Source organism: Homo sapiens, chromosome 5 (genome assembly GCF_000001405.40).
Source record: "Homo sapiens chromosome 5, GRCh38.p14 Primary Assembly".
NCBI classification, from domain to species: Eukaryota; Metazoa; Chordata; class Mammalia; order Primates; family Hominidae; genus Homo; species Homo sapiens.
This window is the reverse complement of record NC_000005.10, coordinates 35,758,969-35,784,694: the sequence shown is the minus strand read 5'-3', so window position 1 is coordinate 35,784,694 and position 25,726 is coordinate 35,758,969. Positions and strand designations below refer to the sequence as shown.

General features: G+C 36.8%; 1 protein-coding gene across 18 annotated transcripts in view; it reads right to left on the bottom strand.

Moving 5' to 3' along the window:
- The window catches only part of SPEF2 (sperm flagellar 2), a 196,749-nt gene that overhangs the window by 29,917 nt on the left and 141,106 nt on the right, over window positions 1–25,726 (bottom strand). For 17 of the 18 annotated variants that reach the window (XR_925655.3, XM_011514136.4, NM_024867.4 and 14 more), the window contains 6 exons: window positions 24,976–25,127; window positions 20,993–21,173; window positions 12,939–13,086; window positions 10,674–10,802; window positions 8,300–8,438; window positions 5,349–5,578 (listed from right to left, as the gene is read on the bottom strand). Coding sequence is in view for 17 of the 18 variants with exons in the window: in XM_011514136.4 (XP_011512438.1) it covers window positions 5,349–5,578; window positions 8,300–8,438; window positions 10,674–10,802; window positions 12,939–13,086; window positions 20,993–21,173; window positions 24,976–25,127 (979 nt within the window). In the remaining variant the exon portion in view is untranslated. Of the gene's footprint in view, window positions 1–5,348; window positions 5,579–8,299; window positions 8,439–10,673; window positions 10,803–12,938; window positions 13,087–20,992; window positions 21,174–24,975; window positions 25,128–25,726 lie in introns of those variants that run through there. The other variant, XM_017009882.3, reaches the window with a different exon arrangement.

Below are 25,726 nucleotides of genomic sequence, written 5' to 3'. Positions count from 1 at the left end.
CTCAATATGTCATGCAACCTCAAAATCTCCACAGCTGCTCATCCCTTTGCCTGGAATACCCTTCCCCTGCTTTTCTTCCTGGAAAGTTCAGTTTCAAAAGCCTCTGGGCTAACCCTCATGCTGACTCACATAGGCAGCAATAGCTAGTTCTGCCTTTGAACTCCTGTAAAAATCATGCTGCTGAATGATCTAGCTTAACCACTACAGCCTAAAGTTCTGAATGTGTACCCTCTGTCTCTGAGGCCAGTCATTAAATCCATCCATCTCGCCCGGGCGCGGTGGCTCATGCCTGTAATCCCAGCACTTTGGGAGGCTGAGGCGGGCGGATCGCGAGGTCAGGAGATGGAGGCCATCCTGGCTAACATGGCGAAACCTTGTCTCTACTAAAAATACAAAAAAATTAGCCGGGTGTGGTGGCGTTTGCCTGTAGTCCCAGCTACTCCGGAGGCTGAGGCAGGAGAATGGCGTGAACCCGGGAGGTAGAGCTTGCAGTGAGCAAAGATCGTGCCACTGCACTCCAGCCTGGGCGACAGAGCAAGACCCCATCTCAAAAAAAAAAAAAAAATCTATCGGTCTCCAAAAGGGGTTCAAAGAAGGGGTCCTTGTCAGCTTCTTAGAGCAATGTTACAGGCCTTGAATAAATAAATGCTGCATCTTTTGAAGAAAAAGAGAGGGTGTAGAATTTGCTAAACTATGTTCTCTTCAGGTAGGTTCTCAGCAGAAGCGAAAATAGCTATGCACCAAATCTCTGCAGGCATTTCATTGAGTACCGATGGGCTTACAAGGAAAAAGAGTTCTTATGGCTTAAGTGCAGACAGAGGAACATTGCTAAGTATTCTAGTTTCAACAGAATCCAAATTGCTTCCATCAGAAAAAGGCTGTCTTCCTTATGTATTTGGCACTTGATGTTTGGAGACAAGATGTACCTACCCAGAACTTACTGGAGCACACAAAATGAATGCTTTTGTTTGGAATGCTTGTACTCCCTAGGAAACCACATTACTTTATGATTTAATTCTACCAGGTGGTGTACATTTTTTTGGAAGCACTCAGGGGTAATATTGCAAATGCCTACTAGGGTATTTCCATCTTCAAGAAACCAAGCTAACATTTTGGATAATAGAATACTTTGTATCAATATTGTATATTATATACTAATATGACATTACTATAATTATATAATCAAGTCACAATGGCTTATATGATTACACTTAAATTGCACATTCTATGTGCTATACTCTTTCTAAGCACTTTACATATATTAATTACTTTAATCTTCATAACAACCTTATTTCAATACATGGAATAAGTATCATTATTATTCTCATTTTACAGATGTGGTAACTGAGGCAGAGAGAAATTTAATAACTTGTCCAAGATCATATGACAGTCTTTTGACAAGAGGTGAACTTGAGAAAGAACTGTTTGACTCTAGCCATCCCATCATAGACTGAGGTGGATAATAAGTGAATTCACATATGAAAATGTTAGCAAAGGGTCTGACACATAGTGACCATGCCAAATTGGCTATTGTTATAATTCAGAAAATATTCACTAGATCTAACTCTGCCGGTAGTACGCTCATAGGAATGATTCCTAGGATAGGTGATGGAAAGAATGGTTTGCTTTCTTTTACTCATACTGTTCTTATGCTTCTAAAGTATGGATCTTTGTTAAGTGGCAGGAAAAATGCAAGTGTAATCAACTGTTTCATTGCATTTTGCATGATCTAATTTGATTATCATGTATAAGGTCATTATTTTTTCTGGTATATTTGTGTTAATAATAATCAATAAATAATATTTTATGTCTAATCATTACCTTTACCAAAAGAGAGGTAGAATCATCATAAGTGGCAGAATTTGACCAGAAAAGGAGTGTTGAATATGTTACAATATATGATGCTTTTCAATTTTATGTTATCTTTAGTAAGGGCTATTTTAATGGAGACTTTTGTTTTCAAAGGGATTAACCAATACTTAGCAGAAAACCCCTTAAGCTTTAGTTCTTTCCATTTACATCTTGATACTATCTAGTTGCAAGTATTTAAAGCATTCAGTCATTGTTCTAATCAAAGATTAAATAATAATCCAATACTTGTATTTGTGTGGCATGATTAAAACATGCAAAGTGTAATTTAGTAACATCAGTGCTTTTTATAAATCTGCTAAAAAATCCTACCATGGGCCTAGTAACATAATGGCTGTTATATGCAAATAAATATGTATGCTTCCCTCCCAAAAAAATCCATCTGTTTTAATATATTTTAGTGAACTTGAAAGTTGCATCTTAGATATTATGGATTGCATGGGCATATATGAAATAATATAGGAAAATGTTTTTATTTCTTGGCATAGAAATAATAGCAAGTTTGAGCAGGAAGTTCTGCAGGATCACACATTTGAAACACACATGTTCAGCCAGCTCCTCCACACTTTCAAACCTGCTATCACTCACTAAGATTGTGTTTTGAAATTATAGAGTTCTAGGGTAAATACAGTGGAAGGTATCATAAAGGATTGTTTTCCATTTCTTGGAAGAAATACAACAAAAGCCTTCATTTAAAAGACGGATGGGTGTGTGTCATGTTTCTTAAGTGAACAATTGCCAAACCGGGGTAGAAAAACAAAAAAGCCAGAGTATACTTTGTGGGGCCAGAAGAGATGGGGAAAAGGGGTGAGTGGCAGTTAATGGGTTTCCTCAGGCAGGGCCATTGTCAATGTTTGGAGCCTGATTTCAAGAGTATCAGTAGAGAACCTCCAATTCTGTGACTCTGGGATGCAGAAAAATGGAGTAATACTTTTCCCTGCCCTCTATAAGAATAGCAAGAATAATAACAATGAACGTTACTCCTGTCAATCAAATTCCCAACACTTATTAATTATTTTAGATATACCTAAAAAGCAATATATGCAATATATATTTTTTCAAATGGTATAATTGAGCTAATAGAGAAAAGAGTTTAAACTGTTTGCCCATAGACCATACATAACTCACTTTGAATCATCACAATCCCCAAATCCTACCGTATTGTATAGCCTTGTAAATTCTGTGGTAATTACAACTGTTATTCTTGCATATGGGTTAATTCTCCAGCTTGGGTGGGAGGAGGTGGTTCCTCACACAGAGAAAGCCTCCTCTTCTACTCGCCTGGAGTTCATGCAGTTGGAGAAAGAAAAGCAGAGCAGTCTCCTAAACATTTCCCAAACATCATGCTCCTATCCTCACGCTTCTTGTCTACAGAGTTTCCAGCAGCTGTTCCCCTAACTGTAAACATTCTCTGTAGCCTTGCCACAAAATCTCTTTACCCTCTTCAATTTCTCCCTCCAAAGTTTTGCTCCACAGACTTTTCCCTGACCAATTTCAGGGCACACTGATGCTTTGCATTCTTGAGCACTTGAATAACATTCATACTGTGTCCCAGAAAGAACTCAAATAGTTGTTCATATTTCCTTCCTCTTTGCTTGCCTTTTCAAATTAAACTCTCAGCTCCTAGGGCAAATGGTTTCCTTTTACTCTGCTTTTAAAAAAATAAAAATTAAAAAAAAAACAACTCCGTTTCTCCCTCCCTCCCTTCCTTTACTTCCTCTCCCTCCCTTCTTATTTCTCCCATAGTCTGAAAACATTTATCTGTTGACATCTTTGTGTCCCAAGGGTTTCTAGAGTTAATCTTCTGAGACACATGTCAAGTTATAGCTGCTATTTTTTAAAATTTATTTTTAAATTTTTAGTGGAAATATGAGCTCTGGATTTGAGGTTGGATCCAAGAAAGTATTATGATTAGCATCATGGATACTAGGGTCCCTGCTGAAAGATATATTGTAAGTGGATGATAATTTTCAAAATCCACTTCTACCTATTCAAGTGTCCCCAGATGCCTTTAGTTTTTACCTATTAATTGAGTGATTTCCTCCCAGTCACCAGAGTGTAGGATTAAAGCAAACCACATGTCATGTTTAGAATCCACTTACACTTATCTTTTTATTTTATGTGTAAAATAATGGCCTGGATAAAATGAAGAGAAAAAGCAACTCTGAAGAGGGAAGTACATAATAACAGGGCATTGTGGAGCTCGCACCATGTAGAAGAGGGTGCACTCTGTCTGACTAAAGGACTGAAGGAATTTCATGGACTGATTTGTAAAGTCGAGATTTTTTGTACCTGCTGATGGCCATGTTTCCTTCGTGCCCAAATGCTGCCAAATGGCACCTCCGTCCCTCCACAGCTGAAGTGTGGGCTTTTATACCTTGGAGCTGTAAAGCCTGCTCTAGCTGATTTGATGAGCTGACACATCAAAGCGCAAGGTTCACCCAGGCACACACACATACACCAATTTCACCTATTGGGCTTGGCAAGGAAGCTTTCGGACTTAGAGTAATGCTCTTTTTACTAATGATATATGATGTGAATTTCTGGAAATACTGGACTTTTTTAAAAAGTAACATTGTATTAATACTAAAGTCAGTTGACTATGCTACAGGGAAAAGTAATAATTTCCCAATAAGTAGTATATGTTGAAAAGTAAAAGAAATCTGCTTATGAGAGGCAACTTAGTTCAGTGAGAAGGGGCAAGAACTTTGGATCTGCAGAGTTCTGAATGATATATGACCATAGGCAAAAAATCTGCTAAACTCCTCTGTGAGTCAGTATCTAGACCTTTAAAGTGGAGATGATAATCCTATGTGATCTGTCTGAATTACTTGTGCTATCAATCGACAGAACTCATTGAAGAATATCTGGAAGTAGGAAAAGGCTGAATAAAAAAAGCCTGTGCAGATGCTGTAGGTCCATGCTGATAAAATGTGAAAGAGATAAAATTGTTGTGTGCAGAAAACATTTACACATACATATGAACAAACCGACTAATTAATTAAGCAAACATTTTCTAACAGCTTATTTGATTCTGCTTATGGTCTACAAGCACTGAGGGAAAAGGCCAACATAAAAGGGAAATCTTCTACTGCCTGGTCTCCCCTCACAGAAACACAAACTCATAATCTCAATATAAAATCTAAACTAGAAGTATGCACAAAGTCTTTCTGTAAGCTGCCAGGTGGAGTAATACTCAAATATACAAACTTGTCAGCAAGGGTCGGGGAGGACAGGAGAGAGGAATTACCAGGAATGAGGACCACCACACTGCTCAAGCATTATTCACAGTGGGTCCTGCTTGTTTAATTAGGGTCTATGTTGTATGAAACAAATATTTAATAAACTAGAACAAAGCAAGGGCATGTTTTAGTGCCACATGATCCCATAGAGCTGATTTTACTTGTTGGCAAGTGATTTCTGTCCTGGTTAATCTTAACCTTTTTTTGTGCTCTTTTCATGATAATTATTTTTCCTACCTTTAGGTGCCATATCTAAGAACTGATCTCGAAGACTGTCAAGCTGTTCAATGGTCAGGGTACCATCTTCTTCCTTTTCTACAGGTGGAGGACGTATTGATGGGGGAGGATCTGGGAAGACTTTTATATTGCCATTAATGAAGAAGTCTTCTTGGCTTAAATAAAGTTCATTCTGAATTTTTGTAGATGTTTCAATGTGATAGCGAGCTACGTCAGTTAATTTTTCTGTACTGAAAGTGGTAAAATGGATAGCGTTAACCCCATGAAAGATACTATTAGATTAATAAAGTTTGCTTATAAGACATATACACAAAAGTAAACAGATTATATAGCTCTTAGACAACTCCATCTGCATGCTTATAAATTTCAATTTGTCCCCAAATCTATTTTGTAAAAAGGCAGGGTATAAATAAATGCAGATTAAATAGAAAATGCATGCTTATTAAACAGCTACTAGTTACACATTTTACACAAAACTGAACTTAAAGAGAACCTATTAAATATAGTTTTTATTAGTATTAGAATATATTTTACTATGTAAGCAAGACTATATCAAGGGTTATATTTCATACTAAGTATGAACCAGAATAAGGTTATATGGCATAATACTCTGTAAAACATGACTATTAGAATTACATTTATTTGGAATTAGGATGAATTATAAAGTGAATCAAGTTCAATAATGTATTTCTAGAAGAGTGGCTTTTCTCTATTTCTGTCAAAGAAGTTTGATGTTATCTAAAACAAAGATGTCAGAATAGCCTCTGTTGTATATAATCCATTGAAATTGCTTTGCTATCTTCATGAAGAATAACAATTCCTAGCTAGATAACATGGTAAAGCAGCAACAGCTGGGAACCACTATGATGCGGTAGAAAGAGTGCTGGAATCTGAGTTCTCATCCTAGGACACTCTCTAGCCAGAGATCCTGGGCTCTCTGAATTTCCTTGTCTTTGCAATGGAATCAACAACGCAACACTCCCTATCTTATGGTTATTAATGTGAACTCATATACGGCAAAGATTTAAACTGTACTGGGGGTATAGTTAATGACCTTTTAAAAATTATTTTAAAGGCTAGAGAAGTTTTATACATGAATAAGTGCATTATCGCTGTATTGAAGAAAGGATCTTGTTTATATATTACAATGAAAGTGAGCAACACAGAAAAATGCATATTTGATCTCATTTTATATAATTCATAGGCACCAAATATACCACATACTGAACATATAACTGAAAATTTAAAAAGTAGCATTAGTTGCTGTCTTTCAAAAGATACTCTAGAATTCAACTCCAGAATGTTGTCTTTGTAAGTGTCCATGTAATACGTGTTAGCCAATTAGTTTATGCTTTTAGGGTGGTTGCGTGCTCGGGGACAGAGGAGGTCACTGGATAGCTGCTGAGTTTACGTGAGTGAGGAGGGACTCCAAATGTGGATTGAGACCCAACCATAGCCCGGCACGATACTCTGTAAAACATGACTAGTAGAATAATACCTTTACTGGGCATCAGGATACTAAAACAGATGCGCGCCACCTAGTGGAAGGTTACTAAGAGTAATCTTAACAACGGAAGGAAAAAAGTGCCAGGAAAATAAGAACAGGATTTGAAGGTCAAAGGGATCTGCCAGCTATTTATTTATTTATTTATTTATTTATTTATTTATTTATTTATTTATTTGTATCACATTTCTAGGTTTTAACTTCTTGTGGCCACAGTTCATGACAGCATCTGTAGATTCACAGGGCAGACATATACAATATAAATCTGAGAAATATGAATACATCTGCTAAAATATGCATTTACACTGGATGGCCACATGGATGGGAGCCATGAGTCCCAAAAATGAAGAAGATAGACTTTCATTTCAAAATAGCAGGCAGAGAACAGAAATGAATATTATTACTGTGTGATGCTGATGAGTAACTGACTTGGTTATCCAGTAGCAAAATGATTTTAAGCATTACTGCAGTAAGCTTACTTATGCTTGTGTTTGTATTTTTTATTCTGTTTAATGTTTCTTTGTTTGTTTTACTATGGAGCAATAGTTCTAAACAACTAGGCTGAAGACTTTACAAAAGAACTTCACTATGAGACAAGGACCAGAGAAAACGAACCATAACAGCTGCTTTTTACATGAAAATTGTTGCTTCTAAGAATAATTGCCTTTTGAATACTGTTTGTGTAGCAACTTCTAAGTTTTCAGTAAATGTTTATTGTAAACTGTAGTGCATCTTGGAATCTAGATCTAGGGTAAACTTCTGAAATAGCCTGGCTGGAGTGTTTCCTTGTATAGATGAAGCCAATGAGGCCCAGAGCAATCAAGCATGCTACTAATTTGTGGACAAGATGGGGCTCCTGGTCTGGACAATCATGACTCACTCTGCTGACCTGCCTCTTTGTACCTTTTAAGGTTGAACTAACAGGATGAGAGTCATTGCCCCTCAGTAGCAACAAAGGTCTGGGAAGTCTTTGGAACTCAACAGAAAAGTAGAACTTGGGGTTGGTCTTACAAGAGAATCAGTCTAGCTGGTAAAACATTCCAGTGAATGACTTTTTAATCTCCCCTTAATTGGCTCTGACTGATAATAAATCTACCATTGGAAAAGTATCAAGGATTATTTTACTTCTAAAAACTATTTTTAAATTACCTATAATCTTACCTTGTAAAATAAGGTTCTCATTGATTAGTATGACAGCTAAACTCATAAATATTGTGCAAAGTTTAATATAGCAATAGAACCCTTTGATGCATGATTTACTGTTAGAAAAGAGTTAATACAAACATGATAGTAAAGCTCATATTATCTGTTTATACACGTGATTTCCTAAAAGGCCAAAATTTATATTTGTAACTAACTTAAATTTGTAAATACCTTAAAAATCTTCATCAATTTTGGTACTTAGAATACACAAAGCATATTTTCAGAAAGTCATGTAGTACTTTACCTGGCCATTTCATTCAAATACCTCTCACCAAGCCATTTTTCCATGAGTTTATATACATCAACCACCTTTGTTACTAAATCTTCAAGAAGAGCCAATGCTTTTGTCTTTATCAGTTCAAGTCGAAATTGCGTGGCTATTTCTATTTGCAAAGAGAAATAAGAATGTTTTAACATATTGCAGTGCATGCATTTACTAATGAACAGATTCACTTTGAAACCACTGGTGCTTCAATTTGTGAAGCTTTAGGTGCACGTTTAATATACCAGAATAGATAAGATGATATCCATCTCACTGAAAAGCAAAATGTAATATGTGGTAGAGTCATTTGAGAAATTATCTGAACCAAAACTATAATTGAGCTTTTTATCTATTGCACTTTGTAGCAATCTACTCTTTGATAAATGAAATGTGAAAACACGCATAGGTAATTTCTGAATTTTGAAAAGGGAGTGGGGACCGTGCTTATCTCCTTACTTTAGAACCTGGGGTGGCATTGCCATTGTATTTCTCAGCACCACTAAAATCAGGGCAAACTCCATGTGCCCCTGGGCCTATTACCGATCCTGGCACATAATCTGGTTGGTGGATTTTATCTCCAAAATTTTTCCAGTTTCTCTTTTTGGCTTTTTTCATCATCATCGCATAGTTTGGGTGCTGATTATCTCTCACTTAAACTGTTGCAATAGCCTCAATCCTACTTTTTCTAACTCTCTTCCCCCACCTCAAATCCAAATCCACCTCCACACTATCCAGAGTAATTTGTCTTACCTGCAGATGTGATCATAATCACTTTACTGCTCATAATTTTCCCTAGCTCCCAGTTGCCACCAGGGAAGAATTGAACATTCTTGGCAGTGCCTAGATAACCCTCCATGGTGTGGCCTCCCCATCTCCCAAGTCGCTCCTTCCCAGAACATGCCTCATGGTCCTAAGCTACTCACAAGCTGATATGCCTCTTACCCCTCTCTCTGCCATGGCACGTAATACTCCTCTTCATTCTCACGCCAATTTTTCCCCTGGAAAAACTTATCCATAGTCTTCCAATTCCGCTCAAGAATTAGTTCCGTTGGTAAGTCAGGAACTCCCCTCATGTCCCCTTTGCCCAATATGCCCACCACCAATATCACATTTTTTTTTGAGACAGGATCTCACTATGTTGCCCAGGCTGGATTCAAACACAATCGATCCTTCACCTCAATCTCTTCAGTAGCTGTGACTACAGGCCCAGCTGTCAACAGGTCAACATGCAACAGTGATTGCATTTCTCTTCCTTGAGACTGAGTTTTATTTTTTGTTTATGTTTGTACATATAAATGTGTGTCTCCAGCAACTATCACAGGACTTGGCACAGAGTGGAAAGTCAATAATCATTTGTTATATGCATAAATGAATTTTGCTACACTAAGGATCATGTATGGAATGAACTGAAAGATGAAGTATACTGAAAACCACTGAAATCAGATGCAGGGCAGGCAATATGGGAGATGCATCTGTCCTGGACTTGCCTGATGCCACAGTCTCCCTGTGTTCAACTGACTTCAGATTTTATTGTTGGGGTTTTAGAAGTGGGTGGTAGTAAGATGGGAAGGACAGGGGAGAGAAAATGAGAGAAACAAGGGATGGAAATCATACTTAGTAGTTAATAGTCACTGAGTAGTTAAAGGTGTCTCGGCATACCCCATGCCACATTTTTGTGGTTTTGTCATCTTGTATATTGACCGTGTTTTTTTCCCTTAGGATATGTTTGCTCAGTTTCCTGATCTTTTCAGATTTCATTTAGAATTGCATTACAAGACAATTCAGAGAGCCATAAGGAGAATATGTTTTGTGGAGTCATAGCTCCTATAGAGAAGAACACCTCTGAACATAATAGATATATGACTGGCTCTCCTATGGCCTTTGTTCCCAAGGACTCATTTTCAGGGCCTGTTAGCCTTTAGTTAAAATTTATTTTCCTAATTAGGTACCTAAATTATTCTTACTGTAATATAAAACCACTTACTTTAGGTAGTCCCTATCTAAACCTGTAAAATCATACGAACTTTCAACATTTTCTTTTGTTTCTGTTTTATGAGATTTTAATTACTGCTATTGCTTTTTCTAACCCATTACCAAATTCTTTTTGGTTCTTTTTGAGATCGTGTCATCAGTTAAGACTGATTAGGTGATGCCAAAACATCTGACTCATGCAACACTCAAATCTAGTCCTCACGTGGTCAAACGAAAACAGTCAACTGAATATTGTGCTTTTCAACCTCTTTGCTGTATGTTCTCATAGACATGGTCTGAGGCAATTGATGAGCCAGTTGTGGGCTGTTTGGCTACTGGTCTCCTTTCTACTGAAAAGCATCATCTTAGTCGTTTCAATCGCTACCTTCAAATTGCAAGGCAGCAAGGTGTTCTTCTTTTATTTTGACCCTCAGTTCATTTTTCCTTTTGATTTCAGCAATTTCCTCTGTTGTTACTATGACAGGAGTTGCTTCTGCCATAGGTGGTGATTTACCTGAAAGGGCAATGAAACATGCTGAGTAAACTAACAAAATACAAAGGTGTGCACATAGTACTTGGACAGAATGAGCACAAAGCAAAGTTTGTTAAGCTATAAACCTCTAGTGATTCGGAAACAATGAAACCTTGGTCCTCCCAGCATCTGTGATGAAATATTGAATTTTTCCTTGAGAATTCTCTGTATGGTTCCTGGGCTGGACTCATATAAAAACGCCCCATTTGTGTAGTATAATTAAAAAATAAGGTATGTAGCAAGTGCAAAAATGGTTACAGTTTCCAAACATAGTGAAATCCAGAGTTTAGGGACAGAAATTAGCAAATCCCCACATAGTGCTGACCCCATTAGACACCTGCAGAATTACCACTCCATAAGGGATAACTTCTATTAGCAAAGTGTTTCCTAGATCTTCACCAAAAAAGAAGATACGAGAATAACCTCAAGAAGATGTGGGTGAAATGCGGGTGATTGTCAAGAATCTGTAATCTCTTTAAATATGATTATTATTTTTTGAGACAGTCTTGCTCTGTCACCCAGGCTGGAGTGCAGTTGCATGCTCATGGTTCAATGCAGCCTCGACCTCCCAAGCTCAGGCAATCTTTCCACCTCAGCCTCCCTAGTAGCTGGGACTACAGATGTGTGCCACCACACCCAGCTATTTTATTGTATTTTTTTGTAAAGACAGAGTTTTGTCATGTTGCTTAGGCTGGTCTCGAACTCCTGGGCTCAAGCAGTCCACCTGTCTTGGCCTCCCAAAGTGCAGGGTTACAGGTGTGAGGCACTGCTCCTGGCTAATTTAATTATATTTTAATTAGAACTTAACTATAAGTACATCAGTGATTATATAAGAGAATTACAAAATATAAATTTGTCAGTACTTATCAAAGGATTTACCCATGGGCTATGGCAATATGATTCTAGTTGCAGGGCCCATTTACATAGCTCTATTTTCAGTTCAACTAATCTTTCTTGAGGGTCTGACTTCGAAGGGTTCAAATCTTATAGAGAAGATACTGTAAACAAAGAAATCGTAATATGTTGCAATAATAGATGTATATGTAAGTTACAGATGAAGGAGAGATTAATCTCTCTGGATTTCTGTTTTATCATCTGTAAAATTAAGGGATCAGACCCCAACAGTGATTCCATTAAAGTCAACAGAAGCACTTCCCTTATTCCTGCCACTTGAGATGGACTAAAGTGGTGCGTTCTTTATTGAGGTAATACTCTTCCCTTTCCTTCAAGTGCCACTGACCCACTCCTTCCTCCATCCTCAGTGCTTTCCTTTAACTCCCATTCCTGGCTGCTTGAATGTTCTCTATCTAAGAAGCATCTTCTACGCCCTCAGATGGAGAAGGGAGACCTTGTTCTTAAGGTACTTGTACCTCCCCTATCAAAGCACAATGGTCACATGTCTCTCTCTACTGCAAGACTATAGCTGGATTAGGGCAGGAATTGTGGTTGTGATTTTTGGTTTTGTTTTTAATTTACTATTGTGTTCTTGGCATCCATCTAGAGCATTTCACATAGCAGGTGTATAATAAACATATCACAGACAATCTATGAGTGGAGTGAGTTCTGCTCATTTGCTTCCCAGGATTCCACTTCAGAGGGGGAGGGTAATGTTGATGCCAAAGCTATTCATTCCTAAGGTTAATTAGGGATCTCTTTCAAGACGTATTTTCTGAACTCTTTGTTTTCCCTCATGCTACTGAGCCAGGGATTTAGGCAGGAGGCCTCCAAGAGAAAAGGACTTGCCCCTGAAACATACACATAGCTTCTAAAAACATAGCTTTTAAACTTCTCTTTGTTACTGCAGTGTTAGCCTTTCTGCACAGACTTTTCAGATGACATAGTACCATCCTGGAAGTTCTTTTAACATTTCAAAACTGTCTTTGAGGTTTATTTTACCCTGAGTACATCTGGCTATTTGGTTAAACAAGTTAGGTGGGCTTGGTATGCAATATGATTTGCCACTAACACCACAAATCATAGAAGCCCGGGTCTCTAGTTTAAACCTAATGAGTAGTATTTTAGTGGCTTAGAGGCTAATAATGTGTCCAGTTAAATGCTCGTTTTCTACGAAGGAGAGGTTTAGGCATCCAGGGTTCTGAGTGCTAAAACCATAAATACCTTTGGGTTTTTTGTCTTCCTGTTTTTTCTTGGGTGGCTCCTTTTTGACTTTTTTATTTGCACCCATCTGAGGAGATTTTTCTTTGGGGTCTGCTGGCTGGTTTTCTTTTTCTTCTTCCATAAGCCTCTGATGAATTTCAGCAGCCACCTGGTTGCGTAACAGCAATATTTCAGTTAATGTCTCATTTACAAAATATGGCAACCATTTGGATGTAGTCATTACTAAATTCTGTTGAAACCTTAATCCACTGTAAACAATTGTGCCCACGTACTCGAACTTTACAAAACACACCCCACCATGTTTTACTTAAGTGGAAACCTGGCCCTGTCCCAAGATGCGGCTTCCCTTCCACCATCTATGTGGAGGCTGCTCGCTTTCTCAAGCCCCACCTGCAAATCATCCTTACGTTTCCTCACTGCCACCTCCAGAGTGTCACAACTCCATGGTTATGCAAAAATTCCTTTCTTTTAAATCTCAGACACACATTTATACTTCTCAGTTCCTTTAATCTCTTGACTTCCAATCCAGGGTATTTCTCTGTATCAATGTTTCTTAACCTTTTTTGATAACTGATCCCCTACAGAGTTTTTTTTTTATTTTTTTATTTGCATTCATAAAATTTTAATACTGCAGAAGCATATTTGTTTATGTTCTGGGTGTATATTTGTGGTTTCTTCATACATATATTCATCACCCTCGGCAACAGCCAATTTTTGGGACAGCATGCCCTGTGTTAATTGGGTCATGGACAGTTGAATCCTGGGCTCCTATTCTACTTGAGCACTAAATATCACCCCCAAAAGACTGAGTATTTGTGAGGTTGACCCATTCCACAAGCTAACCCCAAGGTTCTTAGCTTCCCTGCTGGGCTGACTTTCAGCTTCTCTCCATTCCACCAAGTGCCTCCTTTCATTCTCACAAGTGTCCTGGCTTGAGATTAGTTGTTCTGTCACCTCATTCTAAGTGCTGAATGGAGAAGCTCTGTCCTTTCCCACCCACGGGGTCAGGAACTGCAGGTATCCCTCCACCTCTCCTCTGTGGCTGGCTCTGCACTTCAGGCAGCAGAAAAACCTTGTCCCATGACAACACAGACGAACCTGGAGGACATTATGCTAAGCAAAATAAGCCAGGCACAGAAAGGCAAATACTGCATGATCTCACTTATTTGTAGAATCTTAAAAAGTCAAAGCATAGAAGTAGAGTGTACAAGAGTGGTTACCAGGGGCTGGGGTGGGTGAGTATGTGGGACAGGGAAAGGGGAGATGTTGGTCAAAGGGTACTAAGTTTCAGTTAGATAAGAGGAATAAGCTCTGATGACATCTTGCCCAGCACCGTGACTATAGTTAATAATAATGTATTGTATATTTCAAAATTGCTAAAAGAGTAAATTTTCAATGTTCTAACCACAAAAATAATAAGTGAGGTAACAGATATGGTAATTAGCTTGATTCAGTCATCCCACAATGTATACAGACATCAAAACTTCACAGTGTACTTTATAAATATATGCAATTATTATTTGTAAATTAAGATTATATATATGTACACGTTTGTCTTCAGGCTTGTGTCACTGGGGTTGTACTTGCAGTTAGAAATACTGGACATTTTGCAATAAGTTCAACTGCCCCTGGGGAGGCGAAGGTTGTTTATGAGTGTCACCCCAAGAAATGAGAACCCAGGAAAGAATCCCAAAGGTAGAAACAACACACACACACACACACACACGCACATGCACACACACACACACACACACACACACACACACATTATGGAGGCAGTAGCAACACAGGGTTTAAAACTCTAAAATCTCAATAAAGCAATTGGTGAAAAATGGGGGTTATTGAGGGCTTATTTAATTATTTATAATTTCTGGGGAGAATGGGGTGAGGGGATGAGAAGACAAAGATTAATGAAGGTGAATAGAAAAATGAATAAGGCATAATCTCTACCCTCAAAGACTATTACAGTTTTGTGGGTGAGATAGACCAGCCAGTTCCCGCCTTCTCCAAAATTCTGCCACACTGCATACCCCATGGCAGCATGTAACTCTTCCCAAGTGTTCTATGAGTGATAAATCTTGCCCCATTGTCCAAAGGGGCCTCGTGCTTCCCAGAGCTAAACCAGTCCTACTTCTTTGTATTCTTCACAGCTTTGAGTGTCTGTGCTGTGCTCAAAGGGGATGCCCAGTAGGTGCTTAATAGTCAATGGACTTTCTTTCAAAAGAATCATATTCCACAGAATGCACCCTCAACTTCTTCAATATCAATAGAATCTTGGAGGAATACAGAAAGGTTTCAGAGAGCAAGCAGATTTCTTTGTGGTTTTTTTTGTCTTTTTCTTTCTTTCTCCCTTTGCTTTTTCTTTTCTTTCTTTTTTTTATCAGATGCCCTTTTGATAAAAATGAATACCAGATACTGTACTTGCAAGTTCTTAGTAAAGCTGAAAGCCGACTTGCTAAAATTCTTCCCCTAAATTGCAAGCAATTCAATTTTTAATCGGTTCCTGCAAAGCACTGTAAGTTAGCAATTTTCTTCAAAATTGGATTTTTCTCCCTTGTAAACAACTTTGTGATGATGATAATTATCATAATTACCTGCATAATTATGCATCATAATTGTCTGAATTTTTCTGGTCCACTTCCCTCAAAGACCTCTGGGTTGCTATCAAAAATTAATGTAATTCCCAATTCATTCAGCAATCTAGCTTATAAAGCTGGAGAGAACTTTAGACATAATGCCTTGACATTGTGGGTGTTAAAAATATGACTTGTTTCTTTGAAATCACTGCATACCCACTAATTAGAAGAAAGTTTTGCCAAAAATTAACATGGTCTACTAAATGGATAGCTCCTGGTAAAACTGCTGTGTAGAAAAAAGCCTGTGTTAAAGTGCTCTCATTTTTAGTTGCACTAATCTCAGCTGGTGCTATTTGCCCCACAACAATTTAGTGAATCACACCTGTTTCATTAGAAATTCAAAGTTGCCTTAAGATTGTGTGATATCAAAGTCAAGCAGTATTCAAATATGATTGTTAGTAATATTATTACTAAGCAGTCCATTTTCCTATGCTTTCTATAAGATTTTTTAAAGTCCACAAGGAAAAGGGTACAATGTTTAATGCATTTCTTAACGTAGAGATAAGTTAAAATATATAGTTTCTAAAACACTTTACATACATTATTTCATTGGATTTTTTCAGCCATTCAATAAAGTAAAGATAGACTATCTCCAATATTATAGATATAGCCTAAAGAATTAGAGAGGTTAAGTGATTTTCCTAAAATCATATCAGCTTAATCAAGAGGCATAGCTATATGATCCTCCCTTTCTAAGAACATACTATTTTTCAGTGTCATTTTCTCAGGTAATTTTAATGGGATTCATAAGACTTGTAGATTATGTCTATGTTGCTCATTTAACAATAAGAATAACTCATTTTTTTCTAGAGCTTCTACGTCTGGTTTCCCACTTTCTGGTGCTTGGTACTTGTTGTGGTCTCTGCTATGATCATCATTGTCACTAACGTCATCACTAATATTGACATCAGCATCATCAGCATAGCAGCAGCACCTCAAGACTATATTGAGGGCTTATTATTATATTATGTTTGATGTGGGCATTATGCTAGGTCCAAGGTATACAAAAAGTTTTAGAATCTAGTTAAGTATTCAGACTAACAACTAACAAAATACAGATTACAAAACAACAACAACAATAACAACAACCACCTAGATACTAAGAGCCAAATGAGTAGGAAAGACAATAACTGCTATGAGACTAGAAAGAGCACACAATTACAGATGGCTAGGACTTCAGGAAAGAGACAGTTAACTGGTCAGGAATCAAGATAGAAACTAACACTGAAGACCTAAAGAAGGTCAAGGGTGTGAGATTCTATGATGGCAAGTGGAGATCATCACACTAACCCCTTCTTCTCTTAGGTCAATAATGAAAAATCATTTTAGTATCCTTATACACATCATATCCCATTTATAAAAAATCTAATACTTATTTTCCTTTATCTAGTTCATTTTGCCCATTTAAATTTAATGTAGTTGTAGATATATTTGGGCTATAAATCTACTATCTTCTCTGTACTTTCTATTTGTATTGCTTGTCCTGAATATTTTTTCTGCCCTCTTTTCTTTGCTTCTTTTGGATTGGATATTTTAAATTTCATCTTCCCCCCATGTTAGCTTGGAAATAGCACACACTAAATCACTTAGTAGCTACCCTAGAAATAACACCATGAATTATTGACCAAATAATAGACTTTGAGGAGCCACTAATTCACGGTGTAATTCCTAGGGCAATTGCTAAGAGACTAGTAACAGAATACATGATGACCAAACTTACAGAGGGGAAAAAAAGCAGAAAAGACACAGAGAAGATGAAAATGAAAGGATGAAAAGATATGACATATAAACAATTTCTAAAAGTATAATTTACAAAACAAAAGCACTATATATACAGAAGATTATTTCATAATAAGAAAAGGTTCATTCCACCAGAAAGATTTCACAATTTAAAATCTATATTTTCCCAATTTCATTGTCTCAAATATATATAAAGCAAATTGACCAAAGTACAGATGATCTTATTATAACTCTCTTCATAATTCAAAGGAGAAAACAAATGAGAAACATAAGATTTAAACAATGATATTTAATAAATATTTAAAATACATAGTAAAATAATATATCAAAATATTTGTATATAAACAATGAAGTGCAATATGTACACTAAACACTTAAATGAATATATTTCAAGTACACATGTAACACTTCAAAAATTGACCATAAGGCAACTTCAAAAACTTTTATGAGAATATGTTCCATGAATAAAATGTAATCAAGCCAGAAAACAACATATTATTTTGAAAATTAAAAATATATTTCTAAAATGCTTTGAATTCGATGATAAAAGTAACATATTAGAAACTTTGAGATGAAGCTAAAGTAAGCCACAGAGGAAACTTTAGAGTAGCAAATGTGTATGTTAGAAAAAAAAGATTGGATACTAATAAACTATGATCTATCTCAAATCCCTAGGGAAAGAATGGCAAAGTAAACCCAAAGAAAATAGCACGAGGAAAATATGATATTAAGAAAAGAAAAAAAGACACATAGTAAAATAAATGAATGAAGTTAAAAGTCAGTCATTGGAAAGCCTGGTATAACTGATAAACATCTGGCTAAGCTGATTTAAAAAAAAGAGGAAAAGCACAAATAATAAACATCAGAAGTGACAAAGTGGACGTCACATAGACACTGCAAGTATTAACACAAATGTAGGCCATTTTAAATAACTTCATACCCATAAATTTAAACATTTAGAAATGGAAAAATTCTTAGCAAAATAATATCTACCAAAAACAACTCAAGTTTTTTCTAAGAAGAAACAAACCCAGAAACATTGCATAATCTATTAAAGATAATGAATTCTTGGGTGGGAGGAGGGCAACAGAAACTCCTGCTACAAACTTCCTATAAAACTTTAGTTCTAGATGGCCTCTTAGTGAATGCTACCAAACATTTCAAGAAGAAATAATCCCAACTTCCACAAAATTTTCCAAAGTATAGAGAGGAAATATATCCAGACTTGATTTATTAAGCTAGTATTATCTGGATGCTCCAAGCCATCAAAGATAGCATGAGAAAGGAAAATTACAGAACTCACTCACTTTCATTATCTCATTCAAAGACTAAAATTCTAAACAAAGTATTAACAAAACAAACCCAGTAATATTTAAGAAAGATGACGTCTCATTAAAATGTTGGACTTACTCCAGGAATGTGATGTAAGTTTAACATTAGAAAATTGGTCAATGTGATTTTTCATATTAACAGAAAATGCAGAAAAAATTATATAATACAGGCAGAAAAAGCATTTGAGAATACAATTCATGAAAAAACCTCTAGAGTAAACAGGATATGAAAAGGAATGCTCATAATCTGATAAATACTTCCTTAAAAATCAGCAGCCAACATTTTTGTGAATCTTGACAAGCTGATTTGAAAATTAATATGGAAAGGCAAAAAGTTATGAAAATCCAAAATGTTCTTGGCAGATGACAAGATGGGAAGATTTGCTCATTCAGGTAACAAATAAATGGTATATTGGTGTGGTGTTGGTATAAGCACAGACAAATGGAGCAATGCAACAGACTTACACATAAGTGGTCATCTAATGTATGACAAAGATGATAGTGCGGTGAAACGGTGAAAGGGTTTAGCACTACCTAAGAAAGCTGAGGTATTAAGTATAGTATTGTCTACTAGCTTTGAAGATAGCACACATTGCTAGATGTATACCCAACAGTTATCTATGCACATGGGTACCAGGAGACATGTACAAGCATTCATAGCAGCAGTATCCATACCGACACCAAATTGGAAACCCAAAGGTATTATCAAAAGCAGGCTGGTTAAATAAATTGTGATACATTCATATAATGCAACACAATACAGCAACAAAAAATGAACAACATAAGATGAATCTCACAAAGAAAGTTGAGCAAAATAAGACACAAAAAAGACAAAAGATATGAGTCCATTTATCTAAAGCTCAAAAGCAAGGAAAACTACACATCAGTGTTTAGAGCTATAGACTTGGGTAATAAAACTCTTAAGAACATCAAGGAAATGATTCCTAAAAAGGCAGTATGTTGGTCCCCTTTAGAGAATTCGAAGTGGGTTAGAAATGGGAAGGAGCAAAGAATGACTAGGTAGGTGCAGCCCTTATTCTATTTCTCTCCAGGTAGTGGTGCCATGAGTATTTACTTTAGGTGGGTTCATTAAGTCATGCAATTATAATTCATGCATTTTCCTTATGTATGTGAAAATCCATACTAAAATGTTTTTCGAAAGAAGCAGAAACAATGAGAGGAGTTATCATTGCTTGTGAGAGGGAGAAAAGAAATAAGCGGGGAGAACAAAAGAAAGAGAGGGAGGAAGAAAGGAAACACAGGCTGCTTGTATGAGAAGGTCAGAGAAAAAGAAGCCTGAAGGCAGAGAGGCCAAGAAGGGACTTGGAAAGTGCCCAGTTGGAAATTTTGTTTGCTGTGAGATCTGTGCTGCAAGGTCCTCTTCTACCACTTTCACAAAATCTTTTGGAAAGTTGATGCTGCTTTCTGTTTGAATGCGATATTTCATGGAAACTCGAAGAAGGCTTGGCATGTTGTGAAAAGAGAAGACATCTTGGTAGACCCAGGACCTGGCAGATGAGGGAATAGCAATTGATCACCTGAGTTAAATTCTGTGTGTATCTTCCCCATGGTGTGGCACTTCTGCTTGGATTAAAGTTATGTGTATGCCTCCCCTTTCCCTTTGATTTGGGTAGAAATGATATAAGCTTTGAAGTCATATAGACCTAGGTTCAAATTTCATTTGGATATTTACCTGCTAGGAGAACTTGGGCAAGTTTCTTAGCCTTTCTGAACCTTAATTCTCCATCGTAAATTGGATAATAATAATACTTACCCCATAGGTAACTTAGGAAAAATGCCTAGCAGAGGGGTTGCCAAATAGAGCCCTTATAGGCCAGACTGTGATTTGCTTGACTCTGCAGAATATTTTTTAAAAATTTTTATTTCATTTCTTACATGTTAAAATTAGTAGTTTTACATAAAAATCTGAATGTCTGGCTTTTCTTGGAAAATTGGAAAATCTGGCCATGCCAGACCTCATTTTTAAATGGCAATTGCATGTGCCCCTGCAAGCAGGGATGTGACTTCTGCTTGGCCCCAGACCCATCCCTCCTGATTGTCTTACACTTGACCCACCTCATTAACATTTCCTGACTGCCTTTAGGCCCTGCATGTGGAACCAGAGCCCAGCACAGAAAATAACCTAAATGTTGGTTCGTTTCATGATCTCAAATATTTGTTGACTGAATCACATTTCTCTATTTCTTTCAGAAAAAAAATGTTTCGAAGGTACAATTTTCTACAGTGCTTGAGAGCATTGTGTCAATTTTCCACTTATAGCATATTACCAACCTTGGTACTTAATGAATGTGTATTACTAACAGAAAATATAACGAGCACTGCTTACCATGTGAGATACTGCTAAAGAAGCCTGCTGCCAGGTGTCCATGACCAACTTTTCATCGGCCTCAAAGTTGGACTCAACGTTTTCTAGGGAGTTATCCATCTTGCCCTTCAGTACTGATTTTGTTTTTGGTTTGGGTGTAACTGTTTCCAGAGAAATGGATATTCGAGGAACTAGAGGAATTCTTTGAGAAACAAACAAGCAAAAAGGATAAAAAATTTTGCTTAACAAAATTCTGTTTTTGTGACCATGTTACTTTGTAAATTTTACTGTCTTGGTTTAATCTCAATTTTCAAAGTTTTCCTGAAAGAATTATTTTAATGGAGAAAAGATTATAAAACACTGCATTCAAATTTTTGTGGTCTAGAACATCTTGTTAATAAGAAGAGACTCAAAGCAAACAACAAAAACCCATAATTTTCAGACTTAATTCTCAGTAATTATAAAGCAGAGGATTAGACAGTGGCCATTATAAAGAAAAGCGACTTTGGAATTTGTTCCAGAGCATACACTTCCCATGAAGGATAATAAAAAAGTCAGTCGTGAAAAAGCAAACCAAACGAAACTGGGCATCACTTCTCTAAGGTGACAAGTATCATCTGGCATCCCGGAGGGCACAACTGAAGGTAGGACATGACTGTCCATGGCCATACCACATTGAACACACCTGATCTCCTCTGACAGTAACACATGACTAATACTAATGTGAGGTCTGAAAGGGGGTACTGCACAGAGGCAGCTAAGTTTTGATGGTGGGTGGGGGTAGCCTACAGCACCACCCCCACAAAGGTTTTCTCTTTGTTTTGTAAAGTGCTGTGGGGACACAAAGTTAAGCTCTCCCTCCCTCTTCCCTTATTGCTGCTCCTGTGTAGAAATTTTTGAGCTGCCTCTGGGAATATCTTATCCCAGAAGGATCCCAGGATCTCAAAGGTTAACAGAAGCAGGGAAAGATCTACAAGGTAGAATGCTTATTGTGACTGGAATCCCCCTTTAGTAATAGAAAGTGCAAAGGGCTATCAGCTTGGGGAAGGAAAGAGAAGAGAACAGCTCCAAGGATGCCTCTGTTGAAACTAGAGGAGGAGAGTCAGAATCAGTAATCTAGGAACAAGCATTTGGTTTTGTAGACTCAAGTTGCTGGAGAAGAGAGCAGTGATTCAGAAAAATGAATCACTGGTACAGTATCATAGGCACAGTCTACCGTGCCTAAAAAGGCAGCGTATTGAGGATCTGCTACTCATCTACCCACAAATTAAATTACATTTTAAAAATCAAATAAGGCTAAATCACTGTCACTCCAGTTTGACTGTGATTCATGTGTTCAATAAGTTCGGGTAAGGCTTGTGCGATCACTTCTAAATGTTTAATACAGTACAACATGTATTTTTCAACGTCTTGCTTTGGAGGACAGCAGTGGTGGCATATAACTTAGAAAACGAATTTGCATTTAGAATTTATTTACTGGAAAGAACTCTGATGTAGGTAGCTCTCTCACTATTAGTAGGTATAAACTTGAGCATGTCATTTGACTTTATGAGGTTCAGTTCCTCTTGGAATAATACAAATATAATAATTATTATGATAAGTATTCATTATTAACTAAGAGTTATTACTATCATTGTGAATAATCTTATGATACTACTACTAATATTATTATTGCTATAGGGTTGTTGGGAAGAATAAAGCGGACAAAATATATGAAAATTTTTAACATTGTTCTTGTTTCCCTTTATATATGACAGGTTGATAGGTTAGTTGGTTGATATATTGATTGACTGATAGTTCCAGTAGGTACCCAAAGCTGTGATTTGAGGCTGAGACTGGTGCAGAGTTATTCGCAGGAAATAAGAACTGGATGTTCTTTTGCCAGTTTCATTCTACTAACCAACATCAACAGCTTACCCATTATGCCTAACTTGCTATTGTGTGCTGAGAACAGAATGTACTGCCACTCTCGACATTGAAATTTGGCCTCTTTTGATGGTTCTAGTGGTTTATACCGCCTTTGGATTTTTTTTTAATTGTTTTTAATCTCAAAGATCTCTTTCAGCAGCTTGCTGAACATTTTCCTTCTATTTGTGTCAAAAAGAGGGGACACATTTTTACTCTTAGATATTCTTGTGTACACACGGGCCTGACAGGGATGTGATGGGAGTAGATGGAAAAAGCCAGGAGAGAACAAAAATGGGCTTTGGATCGCTGCATAAAATAATGTGTTCAGGCCATCTCAAATTCTTTTTGGAACAAGGGAGGGTAAAAGAAACAAAGCAGGAACATACAATAGGTAATAATCTACATTTATTGAGCATTATTGGGACTCAATCTCATCTTCTGATACCACAATATGGTACTAAATGCTTTGTAGATTTTATTTTCCATAATCTTCACAACAACCCTCCTTTACAGATAAGGAAACTGAGGCTTAAGAGAGATGGAGTGACTTGACAACAAATAAATTGTCTTAATTTATTTACATACAATGATTGAGTAACAGAACTAGGATTCAAACCAGATCTGTCTTACTTCAAAATATATTCATTATCCTGCGTTTAGTTTGTGCAGCTCCTGACACCTGCATTGACTGAGCAAACTTCTAAAAATATGGTACACTGCCTTCAACATAAAATATATAGCTTATCCCCTTGGAGATTTAAATTTAATCTTCAGTGCCTTTATATTATTTTTTTAAACTTGACTTTCTTTTTCCCCTCCTCATATCTGATATAATGTTTTTTGTTTCTTATCGCCTGCCTACTGATTATTAAAAAGGATTGTTTTAATTCTTCACTATACTTTATTTAGTTCAAATTAAAATTCATTTAATTTTTAAGGATTTTGATTTCTATTTTTTAATTGCTTTATTTTAATTCTTACTTTTAGCTCTCTTAATGTTTTATAGTTGGAAACCATGCCACAGGAATCACCACCACTCCTAACTCCCATTTCTAGAAGACATTTTTCTATCTGTTCAGAATTTCTCAGCGTTTGGGATCTTGCCTTTCCTTTGCCCCTACCCATTGGATCTACAAAAACAATGACTTACAGACTTTTATATTGCACAGGATTTGCTTGGCTGAAAATAAAATTTTTCTTCTATCCTACCACCAAGTTTATTTTTTTGCTGGCAGAAATCTGATGTTAGACTATTAATAGGTCTTTCAGTCACTCTCATAAGGTCATTATCACATACTACTGAGACTTTACTGTTTCTCAATGTCTTTATCAGTAAAAGACTCAAAACACCTTCCATTTTCATTTTCATTTATATAATACAATAGGTACACACACACACCTGCTTTGGTCCTTTCATAAAAGTGTTAGAGGTTCATAATTTTTTTTTTTTTTTTAGACGGAGTCTCCCTCTGTCGCCCAGGCTGGAGTGCGGTGGTGAGATCTTGGCTCGCTGCAAGCTCCGCCTCCCAGGTTCATGCCATTCTCCTGCCTCAGCCTCCTGAGTAGCTGGGACTACAGGCGCCCGCCACTACGCCCGGCTAATTTTTTTTGTATTTTTAGTAGAGACGGGGTTTCACCGTGTTAGCCAGGATGATCTCGATCTCCTGACCTCGTGATCTGCCTGCCTCGGCCTCCCAAAGTGCTGGGATTACAGGTGTGAGCCACCGCGCCTGGCGGAGGTTCATAATTTCTTACCAGAAACCGTTGGGGCCAAAAGTGTTTCAGAATTCAGAATTTGTGTATACCATATATTCCCTAATACCACCTGCAGAGTCTGTGGGATGACTCCGTCATAAAACACATTTTATCTCTGCAGCAAAATGAGTAAATATTCCCTATAAATTGGATAATGTATATTAGTAGTCTTAAGTCAATGACACACTAACGTTAAAAAAAAAACATGTTTGGTTATTAGAGCTTTTTTGGATCTTAGATTTGCAGATAAAGGAGTGTGATTTTTATTAGTGGTAATTAATTTTAAATCACAAAGCTTTATGTTCAAAACAATTACAGTGTGATATAATAGCCTGCCTTACCTAAGCTGGCTTTCAGAATTGTCTTTACTATCCAGTTGGACCAAAGGGATTCGAGTAAATCTCTTGTTGTCCTCTACTGGGATTTTACTTTCCATTCCCCAGTAATAATCTTGAAGGAGTCTCTTTGTATCTTGGAAACGGTTCAGCTCTGCCTTTAATAGCAAATGTGAATGTTAATATCCAAGAAAGAACAAGCTGATCTGTACATATTTCCGATATAAGCCTCTGAAAGCACTATTTTGAAAACATTTAGATTGAAAATAATTTTCTGGAAATAAGAAGGAACATTAGTTACAAGTCTATATCTAAGATTTTCATTAAAATTAAAGATAACTAGTGACTTTGCATTCTCTATATTTACGGAACATGATTCTATTTAACAAAATGACTTTTCTGTGCCTCTTGACATTGTGACAGTTACAGGATGTATGATGTTTCAAGTAGTGCATGCTATTTACTATTTTAACATTAGCAATTCCTGTGTCCTAGATTCAATCAGCCAATATAGTAGCAAACTTCTTTGTCATAGGTAGCATATGAGTTGATTTGAGAGATAACAAAAAACACTATACATACAAATACAAAATACAAATACAAAAAAAAACACTGGGTTCTGGTTCTCTAGAACAACTTTAGCTGTGGAGAAACAACAAAGGGCAACATAAAGTTTTTTTTTTCTTTCTTTCCTTTACTTTTTTTTTTTTTTTTTTTTTTGAGACAGAGTCTTGCTCTATCACCCAGGCTGGAATGC